General features: G+C 52.4%; 1 protein-coding gene across 10 annotated transcripts in view, besides 1 other annotated feature; it reads right to left on the bottom strand.

Moving 5' to 3' along the window:
* Positions 1-12,733, bottom strand: part of TUB (TUB bipartite transcription factor) — an 86,999-nt gene that overhangs the window by 19,000 nt on the left and 55,266 nt on the right. For 3 of the 10 annotated variants that reach the window (NM_177972.3, XM_047427514.1, NM_001440541.1), the window contains exon 1: positions 5,696-6,033. The exons of 5 other annotated variants lie outside the window; for them this stretch is intronic. In NM_177972.3, coding sequence (NP_813977.1) covers positions 5,696-5,733 — 38 coding nt within the window. In that variant the 5' untranslated portion in view covers positions 5,734-6,033. Of the gene's footprint in view, positions 1-4,170; positions 5,360-5,695; positions 6,034-6,196; positions 6,299-12,733 lie in introns of those variants that run through there. 2 more of the 10 variants (XM_047427517.1, XM_011520344.3) reach the window with 2 other exon arrangements.
* Positions 3,519-4,082: an enhancer, noted in NCBI's record as "H3K4me1 hESC enhancer chr11:8104709-8105272 (GRCh37/hg19 assembly coordinates)". NCBI's record gives its function as "activates a minimal SCP1, AML or CMV promoter by ChIP-STARR-seq in primed H9 embryonic stem cells {active_cell/tissue: H9 hESC(primed)}" and the evidence as "EXISTENCE:reporter gene assay evidence [ECO:0000049][PMID:30033119]".

The following is a 12,733-nucleotide window of genomic DNA, read 5'->3' as shown; positions in this document are numbered from 1 at the left end:
AGAGGTAAGACTCACATCAGCAATGCCACCTCCGGAAATGCTGGGTCACAGCAGCTGCTCAACTGACTAAAGGTATTTCCAGCCATAGTGGCCTCACTGCCCAGTGCCTTTTAATGCTCTCATCCATGCAGGGGGCACATTTCCCTACCAGAGGCCACCATCCCACTTGCCATGGACTATGCACAGTTATGCCAGAGGCAGGAGGCTGCTTTCCATGAAAACATTCCTTTCTCCTCCTCTGCCTCCACCTCCATTTCCTGATGGGGGAGAATGATAAAGAGCCACAGGCTTCGGTGACCCTGATTACTAGGTAAGATAACAGGGAGAAAGGACTTAACCACTGGCCTTCAGAGAAATATGGATGAACACAAGGGCTAGGCTACTGAAGAGGCTCCAGAAACCTCAGACATCCCCAAAGTACCTAGAGAGCCACCTACCACCTCACCCACCAGCGGGCATGTGCAAGCACACAGAAGGAAAGGAGCATGCACAGCTGGGGGGCGGCCACCGGGGAGAAGCCACCTGTGCCTGGCTGAGCAAGACCCAGCTAGGAGGGTCTACACTAAATCTACTAAAATGGGGAGGCTCTGAGAGTGGGCACGATTCCTGGTAAAGCAGTGTTCTAGAAGAGCTGCAAGGGGACGAGATGGGACCACGATTACCTAGCAGTGACAAGCTTGTACCAGGTGGGTGTTCCTAGCTAACGACAAGTGCGCAACAACTCTCCCTGGTGAATAACAAAGAATCCCCAGCCAACAGCAGCTGTTGTGGAGACCAAGGGCAACTGCGATGGCTGTCTCCAGGAAGAGCAGCACCAAAAGCTCCCCTGGCTTCCTCAATAGGCCCAGTTCCCTTCTCCGCCCCCACCCAGATGGCCCTTCCTCCTCATCTCCACCCCAGCACCATTCCTAAGGCATCTTCCTTTCTCACCGACGCTTCCCCAGCCTGCCTGTTTCTGATGGGCCCTGTTCTAGGCTGACCTAAACGATAACCACACAAGGAGACAGTAATGGTTTTTTAATGACTTCAGCTCCAATTATGGAATAACTGCCAAGCCCAGGCTGCCAGCTGCAGCCCCGCCAGGAGACTCAGACAAGAGACAGGGCGCTGATGGATAGGTCTTTCAGCTGACCCTGGAGTCTCCTACATCACGGGCACCTCCTGCTGGGGGCCTGAACAGGGAGGCTCAGGAAAGCCACTGGCTCATGAGGGCAGAGAAACCCAGGCTTCAGTGTCCACCAATCCATCTGCTCAGTCCAGCACCAACGAGGTGGCAGCTTCACCTCCCAGGGAACCTGCCCCTCTACATCCACTCACTTCCCCCAAGGCACCCCACAGATATCAGAGCAGTCATCCACGATTGACAACAAGGGGCAAGGACACAAGGACAATTCTGTGCCCTGGAAAAGCACACACAGCCAACATCCTCTAGCCTGTTTCCGAACTCCCTCTCTTCAGAGACTCTACCTTACATGCTCCAGCTACTCCATCAGTGCTAACCAGAGGCCCAGGGGTCAGGGAATCTAGGGACAGACCCAACCCTCTGGCCACACTTTCCATGTTGACTTCACCTTCTCCTCTTCCTGCCCTCATTCTTTCCCCTCAGTCACAGTGGAAGCTACCCCTGCTGGACCCAGGAAATCACAGATGTGGGCTGTCAGGAGAGGAAAGGCCACCAGGGCATCTGGCTGCAACCCTGTGCCCCTGGCTGCAACCCTGGACCCCCGGCAAGTCCAGATCTGTGGCTTCTGTCGCCTGGCAGCTTACTGGGACACAGTGGGAACCAGTGCAGCTCCAGAAGGCAGAGGACCACACTGCTCACAGGAGTTCCAGCCTCCCAGGATGTGCCGTCCCCATTCCAGCCAGCAGTTCCCAAATGTATCAGGTGCATTCAAACTGCTGGCGGGACTAAGCCCTGACTTGGTCATTCAGAACTGCTGGGGAACATCCCCCAGAATCAACCCACTCCTCTCTCTCTTTGTAAAAGCAAGTGCCATGGGTGATTCTAATGCTCAGCCATGCAAATGCGACCACGAGCCACAGCTGGTGATCTCTAAAGAACAACAAGAAAATCAGGGAGTCGTTATAAGGCTGCCAGAAGTAAAGTGGTGGGTCCAAGTGCCCAGGGCACCTCGGAGGCCGAACCTAGCAGCAGAACGGAAGGCGTCAGGAGTCCCACTACTCCCTACAAAACAAAGGAAGTGGTGGGAGGATCCTAACAAGGGCCAGGAGGAGGGGGAACCCGGAGACTTGCTTAGGTTCAACCTAAGGAAGAACTTGAAAGAAATCACAGCCATCTGATGGGAGGCCGTGTGGCAGGGATGCTACAGGGAGCATCCACACGGAGAACTAGATGACCTGTAAAGGCTCTTCCAGTCTGAGATTCTCTTTCTGTGACCTACAGAATGCTTTTCAAGCAGTGCTCCAGGAGGTCCCATGGTGATGTGAGAGTACTGTATCCCTCAGGTGTGCTTAGAACCCAGGTGTGGGGCTGGGAAAGCCAAGGAAGCCCTAGAGGCTATCCCGGGATGCCACTTTGATTCAAAGAAGTGGACGTCTTGTCTGTGCTGGGGACATGACCAGGAACCAGATAAGTTCCCTGATCTCAATTAGTTCATGACCAAGTGAGAGAAACACCAGGCAATGGCCTCAGGACCATGAGGACAAGGGCACTGAGGACGGGGCCACCCCAATCCCACCCAGCATAGTCCTCCAATACGCCGTGGGCCGCAGTCCTTCCTGACTCTCACTGCTCCACTTACAACTTATAAAAGGCTGTAAATGTACTAAGGGCATTTAATATTCCTCAAGAACACAGGTAAAGAGAAACTGGCAGAATTAGAAATTATTAGTACTAACAGAAACAAAAGACAAAAACATTCCAATTGTTAAACTTTATAAACTCAATGGCTCCCTTTGAACTCAGAATGTGAGATTAATCCATGATCATTATACACTGAGCCAAAATTACCCATAAGAAGATTATCACCAACTATCATTTCTCTAAAGAAAATAAGCTGGGCCCAGGGAATGCAAGGTGTAACCATTAGAGAGGGAGTAAAACCCTCACCAGCAGAACCAGCAAGAAGCCAGCCAACCCCTCTCTCCCAAACCAAATGCCACATTCCAGCTCTGACATGCTGTGACATTAGGGAAACCTCACACCAGTCAAAGCACGTGCATGCCACCCCCTGCCCCCACTCCCATCTGCAAGTAAAATGCTTTGTCTGTCTTCTGCCCCAGTTTTCTCTGTGATCAGACAGCATGTGGCTTTGACTGCAATCAGCAGCCCAGTTAATGCAAGAGGCAATTTGAATCTCCTCCTCTCAGCCCAAGTCTCCCATTTTGGAAGTCTGCACCCCAGTTCCAGTACTTTGCCACACTCAGTGCGTGCCCAGAAAGACCCCAGCAGGGCAGGGGGGATCCTGGCAACTGCTGACATAGCCTGCCTCCAGCTACACACCCCCCTCTCTACAACAGAACGAGGAGGTGGAGTGACAGGCATGGGGAAAGCAAGCAGTGCAGGGCTATAAGGGTGTTGAGACGCTCCTCGGGGCCAGGCTTCCAGGGAGGCAGGATTCTATGCTTCAGGGCTGAGTCTGCGGCCCAGGAAAGGAATTGGAGGGGTGGCGGTGGAGGGGAGATAGTAGTTGGACCTGGGCTGAGGCAAGTGCCAAATCACTCCTTGCAGGATGCCAGGGCCCTAGGCACTTGCTAGAACAGGATCATTTCCTAGAGACAGTTCTACCTTCCTGGGCCACCTTTCCCAGGAACAGGCTTAAGCCATTCCGTTTGAGGCATATTTTCTCTAAGACCCCTGCACACTCTCTACAAGTGGCTTTAGTCCCTGGCTCCCTGGGAGAAGCTTTCTAGAACCATGTCTTGGCCTGGCCCAACCTCCAGTTTGCCAGATCCTAACCACGTCATAATCTCCACAGCCGTAAGTGCTGCCCCTCCCACCCTCCTCGGTCCATGGCCACCACCCTGCCATCTGGACCCCCGCACACAGGTACTTCCACAGCACCGGAGTCCACTCAGCCCACAAGCACCGCCCAGGCACCTCTGCCGCGTGGCTAGAAAAGGTTGATGACGCTCCATGGGGCTGCACTGTCTTCTAGAAGGTCCTCAGCCCACATGTGCCAAGAAAGGCCAGGATCCTCCAGAAACTACCTGTGCCCCAGCCTGGACGTCTGTCTGGCGCAGCAGCTCTTCTCAGTCAGCACAGCCCCAGTCCCTGGTTCCATGATGGAAACAGCTCCCTAATCCATGTGAGACTGAAGTGTGACTACATGTGTCTGCAGGAGAGCCTGTGGGTGACCTGTATGTGCGCACGTGTGAGGGTGTTGCTGGTGGTTGTGGGGAGAGACACAAAATAACCTGGAAACCCCTGAATCCCCCACAGGAGCTGAGATTAGAGGTAACAATTCTCAAGAGAAACCCTGAGTTCCCAGGCCACGTGCCTGTTTTCAGAAGGATCTGCTTTTAAGAAGCCTTGGGCGGTTTCAGCTGGTTTCCATTTGGGACGCTGTCTGGACAGACTCAGAGAAGAGCCCTGTCAGAACTATTTTCTATCAGTGACTGGTATGAGGCTCTAACAGAGAGCAAGCTGTGTTACAAGGCGGGACCTGAGGATCTCATCCTGCCGTCCGCTAGCACGTGCACCTGGGTCGACAATAACACAGTGGGCCTTAGGAGTCCAGCACCCATTTTCCACAGAGACAGCCCCGTAGCCCATGGCAACCAAGGAGCCAATGGGTGGCCAAGAATCTGGCGCTGCCATGGCGATGAGCTCCCTTCCCTGGTAATAGAATGGAGTAGAGTGGATAGGGAAAGACCTGCACCTGTGAGGGGCCCCCCAGAGACCACCTCCCCGCCCCCTTCCCAGGCAAATGGGAAAGCCCAGCCATCCTTGAGATAGACCACAGTGCCTGGCAGCAGAGGGTGGGGGGCTTCCCTGAGTGTGCCTGGATTCTTGAGTGCCTTTCTGCATGTGAGGGCAGTTCTATGTACTGTGAGCTGGTGTGTGTCTAGGTATAGACCTGCTAGCAAGTAGATTATTCAGTGTCTGAAAGAGACTGAGTAGCACTTGTGAGTGAGAAGCAGGTGTCAGTTATTCTCCAGATACAGGAGGTGGACGTGCACAGATATGCAGGCATGTGTCTTTGTGAGCCCAAGAATTCTTGTGTGTAGAATATACGGGTGCATGTCCACATGACCACTGGTGTGCTCTTGGTTCAGAATAACTGTCTTCACGGATCCATGCTTTGAGAGTGTGAACCGACCAGCAGGAGCGTCTTTGGCCCAAGGCAGGGACGTCCTGTGGGTGCATGCGTGCAGATGTATGAGCGTGTGCGCGCACCCTGCACAGGCGTGTGACTGGGGTTCTGGGCCTAGGAGGGGGCTCAGAGCAGTGTGGACTCCTTCCCCAGGCGGCCACATGGTGCTGCCTGACCCAACAAGGCCCACACAGGCCCCTTCCAGCAACCCTGGCAGATAAGGGGGTGGAGCGGGGCAGGCGGGAGCAGTCCGCAGGGGCCCTCAAAGTTGAGGGAGGAAGGACCAGCGACTCCAACCCGCGCCCCAGTGCTGGGATAGGTGGGGAGGGCAGCGGTGCCCTGCGCCCCGGCCGCGTATCCCCAGCCAGCTCACGTCCCGAGTCGGGAGTGGTGGGCGCCCCGGCCCGGCGCCCGCGTACCTGTAGGGAATCCAGTCGGAATGCGGCTTGGAAGTCATGTCTCTCGGGGGCGGGGCGGTGGCTGCGGCTCTGGAGGCCGGGGCCCGGAGGGGCCGGCGCGGGGGCCCTGCTCAGCTCCCGGGCCGCCCCGGGCCGCATCCTCCCGGGCCGGGGCGCTGGGCCCCGCCGAGGCCCGCGCTGCACGCCAGGGCCCCGGCTGCTGGCTCTGCGAGCGGCTGCCTGCGCGGCGCGGCGAGGCGAGATGGGCGAAGCTCCGGGAGTGCGCGGGTCGTGCGCGCGCGTGGAGGCGGGGAGGCCGACCGCACCGTCCCGCGCCCCTCTGGCGCCAAGGCGGGAGTACTGCGTGGCAGCGGCGGCCTGCCCCTTCTCCCTCGCCCCGCCCCGCCCCGCCCCGCAGAGACCCCACCCCCCGGCCGGCTCAGGGCCTGCGGAGCGCCCTTGCCCCCTCCCCCGAAATCGTCGCGATCCACGCTCCATGCGCGTGACCGCGCCGGCTCCCACCTTCGGCTAACGGCGGCGCTGCAGCCGGGCCAGTCCCCAGGCCTCCCAGCCTCAGTTTCGTCTTCTGTGAAACGGGGATCATTCGAACACCTCCCTGTGTACCTGCCCTACCTATCTGCGCTATGGGATGGGAAACCGATGCGCGGATTTGGCGGGGCAGGGACCGGGCCGGAGGCGCGGATGGAGAAGGAATCCAGTCGTGCAGGAAGAGGCGGGGGAACCTCCGGGCCGAAGCGTGGAGGTTGGCCTTCCCTCACCCCCACCTCCGAGTTCCCACACCCCCGCCTGGGGAACCCTCTGTCTTTGGGTTAAGGAGGTGTTTCCTCAGCAGTGGCTCCCTCCCATCTAAGCTATAGCGTCAAGGGAAGGGGAACATTTACGGTCTATTGCATTCCCAGCCCTTGCAAATTTCTAGTATGTAATCTCCACAGTAGCCTTGAGAGACAAACATCATATCCCTATAACCCAGAGAATAGGAATGCTGAGATGCCCAAGGCCGTAAAGCTAGGAAGTGGTGGAGCTGAAACTGTTCTGTGATCTGTGTCCTCCAAAGCCCTTCCTAAGGGGCGCAGTTGACCGGAGGCAAAAACCCCTACAAAGATCATCTGAAAGTCTCTGCGCGCTGAGGAGGTCCTGGCTGTGACTAGGACCAGCTTGAATGCAAGGCATGGCACACTGAGAAGGTGCGGGACCCACAGCAGGGCGGGCGGAAGCAAGGAGCAGCAGGCTGAGGGGTCACCAAGGCCTGCGTGTGGAGCAGGTGATCCGGGAGAGGTCTGCGGAGGGGCACGGTCCCCACACGCCCCGTGGGCGTCCTCGTGTGCATCCTGGATTCTGCCGCGCCAACCGCGCCAGAAGAGTGTTGTGCGGGGATCTTCTGATGATAAATAGGCGGTCAGGACTGCCCCGCAGAGAGTGTGAGAACAGCCAAGGGGGCTGAGGGAGGGGGCTCATCCTGCTGCCCTGGGGCTACAGCCAGACCCCCACCCCAGGGCTCTCCCAGCCCTTCAGCCTTGCCTTCTCTTGCCCATTAATTATAAAACACAATAACCCACAATATTTGGATTATTTGCTGGGCGTCAGGAGCTGTGTTAGGTGCTACGTACATATTATAATTCGTTTAATCCTCATAGCCACCCTAGAAGGTAGGCACCATTAGCATACCCATTTCACAGCAGAGGAACTGAGTCACAGAGAAGGCAAGGATCTTGCCCAAAGTCACACAGCTGGTCAATGATGAAGCTAGCATTCACACACAAAAGGTCTGGGTCTACAGCACTTACCCTCAGCCTCCTTTTGGCCAATCACAGTTCATGTAGTGCACACACACACACCCCTACACACATGCACACACACACGCACACCTACACACACCTACACACATGCATGCACACACACATGGCCTCTCTCTCCAGGCTTCTGGAGCTCAGGACAGGTCAGATCCATCTCTGTCGGGCACAACATTGATGCTCTCTGAACACTATGACCTCTGATTATTTATCAACCTCCAAGAGCTGTCACTGTCACTGGGGACAGAGAGCAGACAAAATAAAACACCTGGGAGTGGGGTGCAGAAGGCAGAAAGCAGGGCTGTTTTGTTGCCTGCTGGGATGCTTGGCCTGGACTCTGCTGGCCTTCCAGGAAGGGCAGCAGAGATTGGTCCCTACCCTGGAGACCGCAGCAGAGCAGCAAAGCATTGCCCCAGAGGCCTCTGTCCTTCAGGGCAGAACCTTGCCTAGAGATCAGAAGCTTTGACCCCTGGAGGCCGCGCCCTCCAGGCCACCCCTTCCTGAGTTGCAATTAGTAGCTACCATGTCAGAGACAGCTAGAGTCTAAAAGACTTTCCCTTCAAGAATTTGAAGCTGTTTTCCTCCCTTTATTCCCAAATTACCTGACACCTTAAAGCAATCAGAATTTAGTTGGAAGGTCTCAGGAGCCTGGAGTAATTGAATCTATTAAATAGACAGTTTAGGCTCTGTCCTAAGGGAGCAAAATCTGGAGGCAGAGTGAGGTGCAGAAGTAAGATGGCTTTCCAAGTCTCTTTCTGCAGAAGTTACATAGGTACATGGGATGTGGGGGAACCATGGGACTGAGCGCCAGTGTATGCATGAGTGTGAGTGTGTGTACATGTGGGGGAGCCAGTGGGACTGAGCGCCAGTGTACGCATGAATATGAGTGTGTATGTGTGTACATGTGTGTATGCACATGGGTTGTGTGAGTCCCATACACTGGCACACAAGGGACTGTGTGCCAGTGTATGCCTTGAGTGTGTGTGTGCATGGGAAGTTGGGGGCAGCAGGACTGTTTCAGTGTACGCAGCAATGTGTGTATGTGTGTGAGAGATGGCCCTGCAGTCTGAACAGGACTGCACAAGAACATTTGTTGGATGGTACGCGTGCAGGAGAATGACGTGTGTGCTTCTTCGAGTTCTATGGAGTGCATGAGTGTTAACATTCTACTCAGAATGCATGATGGCTTTTTCCACTCAAATGACTTCCGTGGTTGACATTTTAAGTTTACGTCCTTGGCTTCCATCAAAAAGCTACTCCAGAAAGTCATATGATGTATATTATACTAGGCCATGATCAAAAGTTATATTTTTACAACTGCACTATAACCATGACCCTCGAAGAAGGGCATAAGCTTTTCAAATTTAGCCCCAGGAACAAGGTTATCTGGACTGAAACACCACCACACAGCAATCCCAACATGCCTCCCTCACCACCTGCCCAAATCCTGCAAGGGTAAGATATTTGCTATGAATTTAAATCATCCTGTTTGCATTTTAGGCATTTTCAAACGTGGTGATGAAATGTTTGTGAGGGGGAGTGAAGGAATGCATGGGGAGTGAAGCAGCCCAACAGAGACCCTCACATCTGCCACCTGAGCTTGAGGACCCCAGGGCCACCCCCTCTCCCAAGCAGAATCAGTTCACCCAGGGAAGAAGGTTAGCATTTTGGGACTTAGCCACCTATATGGAGTCTTATATGTGCTATACTTAAGGTGACATTTTTATTGAGTGTGGGCCATCTCTAGTCAATTTTGGAAGCAAAGGGATATGAATGATAAATGATATCCATTCAAATTGGGCCCTGTCTGTTGGCTTGGCATTGTGACCTTGCAGTCTGAGGAAGGCAATTCAAATCAATCAAACATCAACTAGCCCCTCAAAGGCTGATGCAGGGCTGCAGTGGCCTTAGTGGGGGTCAGGTGCATGGCTGCTCTCAGGGAGCTTTCGGTCTGGCAAGGGAGATAGGAAGAAATAATGACTGTACCCTACATTAAGGTGTTGGTGTTACAACACAAGTGTACAATGTGCTGGGGGCAAGGGGACACAGAAAAGAGGCAGTCAATGGAAGTCCCTAGAAGGGGGGAGATAAGGTTAGGACAAGCCTTCCCAAGAGTGGAAAAGGATGATAGTTGTGTTGGGCCCTGAAAGATGAATAGGATATTGATAAGCTGATAACAAAGGAAGAGGGAAACGTAACAGTTACTGAGATTCTACAATTGACCGGGCACTGTGCTAGGGTCTTTTACCAAAGGGCCATACAGACAGAGGATGACATGAGCAAAGTTACGCAGACATGAGAGTACATGCCCAATGCACTTGAAAACCAAGGTGCAAACCAGCATGGCAGCATTCAACCAATAGGTGAATGGTTCGGTGTGGCAGGAAATGGGCCTAGAAAGTTAAGGCAGGGCCAGGTCATATGTCATCCTGAACATCAAGCTAGGGCGTTTGCAATTATCCTATAATTTGGAAATATCCTATAGACTCTGTTCTAAGGATGTGGTTCCCAGTGGGGGACCACTAGAGGGTTTTAAGCCAAGAATAATCTGCCCAGATGTAACCTTTAGAAAGAAATAATTGGGAGCAGAATGGAGGATTGCGGGAGAAAGGCTAGTGGTATGGCAAACTGCTAGACAGCTATGAGTAAAGTCCAGGACAAAGATGAGCCAGCCCTAAAACAGAGTCAAGTGCCATTTTGAAGCTGTGGGTAGACATCATGGCAAGATGGTAGCATAACTATGGGTGGCCAGATAAAGCCCTCTGTAATTCCCATTTAAATAACTGCAGAATATACAAAGACCATTGCACCACTGTTGATGATTGAGATAAATAGGCTTACAATGTCTGAAAAAAAATGTAGGTCAACCACTAGTAAAATTAAAAGCAATGTCTATTTTCCAAATCACTGCTGAAAATAATAGCAAATCATTTCCACACACACAAACACACAAAAGCATAATCTACAGGAAACATAAAATGCATAGGGCATAAAACAAAGTAATAGGAATAAAACCAGATCGAATGGTTATGAGGTGAATGTAACTAGAGAGTCCGTGAGCCTGGATCATACACAGCTATCATTTGTTGAGTGCATGCTCTATGCCAGGTGCTCCTCTGTGTGTTTCATAAAGACAAATATGGCAATGGGAGGATGAGATGGGATGCTTCCAGTCTAGGATCCACTTGGGGCTCCAAATGAACAGATACCACATTCCAAAGTGAAGTGGGATACACCTCTTGGAAAAGAGGTGGCGAAAACCTGGGTCCATGCCATTAGCTGACACCCATCTCTAATGCATACAAAATGGGAGAGAGGTTGAAAAAAGGTTGTTGGAGGTTTAGAATGAATTTCAGAGACAGCCTTTGGGGTCCAGTGATCCCAAATAAATGGGAGGGGTACAGGGTGCTATCACCTTCACCTCAAAGCCAGACAGTGGGGCCTTGAGGAGACCCCTAAGTCAGTTGATATGTGGCCAAAATGGTCTTGGTGCCACAGTGGAGAAATCCAAAGAGCAGCAAGAGTGCTGCTGCTTCAGGACCAGCCTGTGCTCCCTGGTTTGCAGGGCAAAGCACACATGAGTGTCTCTTGTGGACAGAGGTAGCACCCAGCAAGAGAGCCAGATGTGACTGTCTTAGATCCAGGACAAGAGGGCTCCTCCAAGGGAGGAGGTGACACTGAGGGAGACCAGGTTTCCCAGAGCCTGAGAAAGAAACCATAGGATCGGCTACGGGGAGAAAGTATCACCCTCATCAAGGGAGGTGCAGGGTGAGACTCCAGCGATGGGGTGGTCTCCACCAACCCACAAAAACAGCCCAGTGAGAGAAAGGGCCCAGAGAACAACGGGACAGCAACTCATCAGAGTACAGTCGTTGAAGACCTTTCCCAACCATCTCCTCTCCTACCTACCTGCCCCTCCACCTTGGACCCTGGAAAGGGTCAGGACTGTCATGTGCAAGGTCCCCACAGGCAGCTGGCCTACAGCAGACCGTGCTGGGAAAGAGATGGTGTAACTCTGACGTTTCAAGATTTTTTTTTTTATTACAGCAGACAGGATGCATTAATTACTGACAAGACAACCTCTGGTTACCTGAAAATGGTCAGAAAAGTCATGGGACTTACCCTAAATTTAATATAATTTTAGAAGGGAAAACAGCCCTATAGAATAAATTTAAAGAGACTGTGGGAGACAAAAATAAAGTTTGCTTTATGATTACATCTCATGAGTCATGCCTATGCCTATTCAACTTAACAATTACACATCACTTCTCCCATTTAATCCTCAGAGCAACACTTCAAGGTAGGTACTATTATAATCCCCATTTTACAAATGAAGCAACTAAAAGGTTATATATAATCTGCTGAAAGTCACACTGATAAGAAGTGATAGAGTTCAAATTCAGATTCAGGCAGATGAGCATTGTAGAGCCCAGAGAACTACCTTCCTCCAGAGAAAACCAGATGATGGGCGCCTTAGCCCTTTGACTCATTAATTCCTATTCTAGAAAACTAGTCAAAGGAAATTGAAAACGAAGTCAAAAGTTTATGTACAAAGATACTGATGGAAACTTTATTGCTAATAGGGGAAATTGGCTGGGGGAAGATAAACAAAATGTCTATTAATTAGGACTCCTTTAAGTAAATAATTCAGTGTTCATAGGATGGATCACTAAGCATCCTTTATGGGGAATTTTTGTTTTTATGAGACAGGGTTGGCCTGGCACAGTGGCTCCTGCCTGTAACCCCAGCACTTTGGGAGGCTGAGGTGGGTGGATCACATGAGGCCAGGAGTTCAAGAGCAGCCTGGGCAACATGGCAAACCCGTCTCTACTAAAATTACAAAAATTAGCTGGGCGTGGTGGTGGGCACCTGTAATCCCAGCTACTTGGGAGGCTGAGGCAGGAGAATCACTTGAACCCGGGAGGCGGAGGTTGTAGTGAGCCAAGATTGTGCCACTGCACTCCAGTCTCGGTGACAGAGCGAGACTCCGTCTCAAAAAAAAAAAAAAAAAAAAAAAAAGACACGAGGTCTCACTCTATCACCCAGGCTGGAGTATAAGTGGCGCTATTGTAGCTCACTGCAGCCTTGAACTCCTGGGCTCAAGTGATCCTCCTGCCTCAGCCTCCAGAGTAGCTGGGACTACAGGTGTGAACCACCACACCTGGCTAATTTTAAAAAATCTTTTGTAGAGATTGAGTATTGCTATGTCTCCCAGGCTGGTCTTGGACTCCTCAGTCAAACAACCCTC

The sequence above is a fragment of the Homo sapiens genome, chromosome 11 (genome assembly GCF_000001405.40).
Source record: "Homo sapiens chromosome 11, GRCh38.p14 Primary Assembly".
NCBI classification, from domain to species: Eukaryota; Metazoa; Chordata; class Mammalia; order Primates; family Hominidae; genus Homo; species Homo sapiens.
This window is presented reverse-complemented; position numbering and strand designations above follow the sequence as displayed.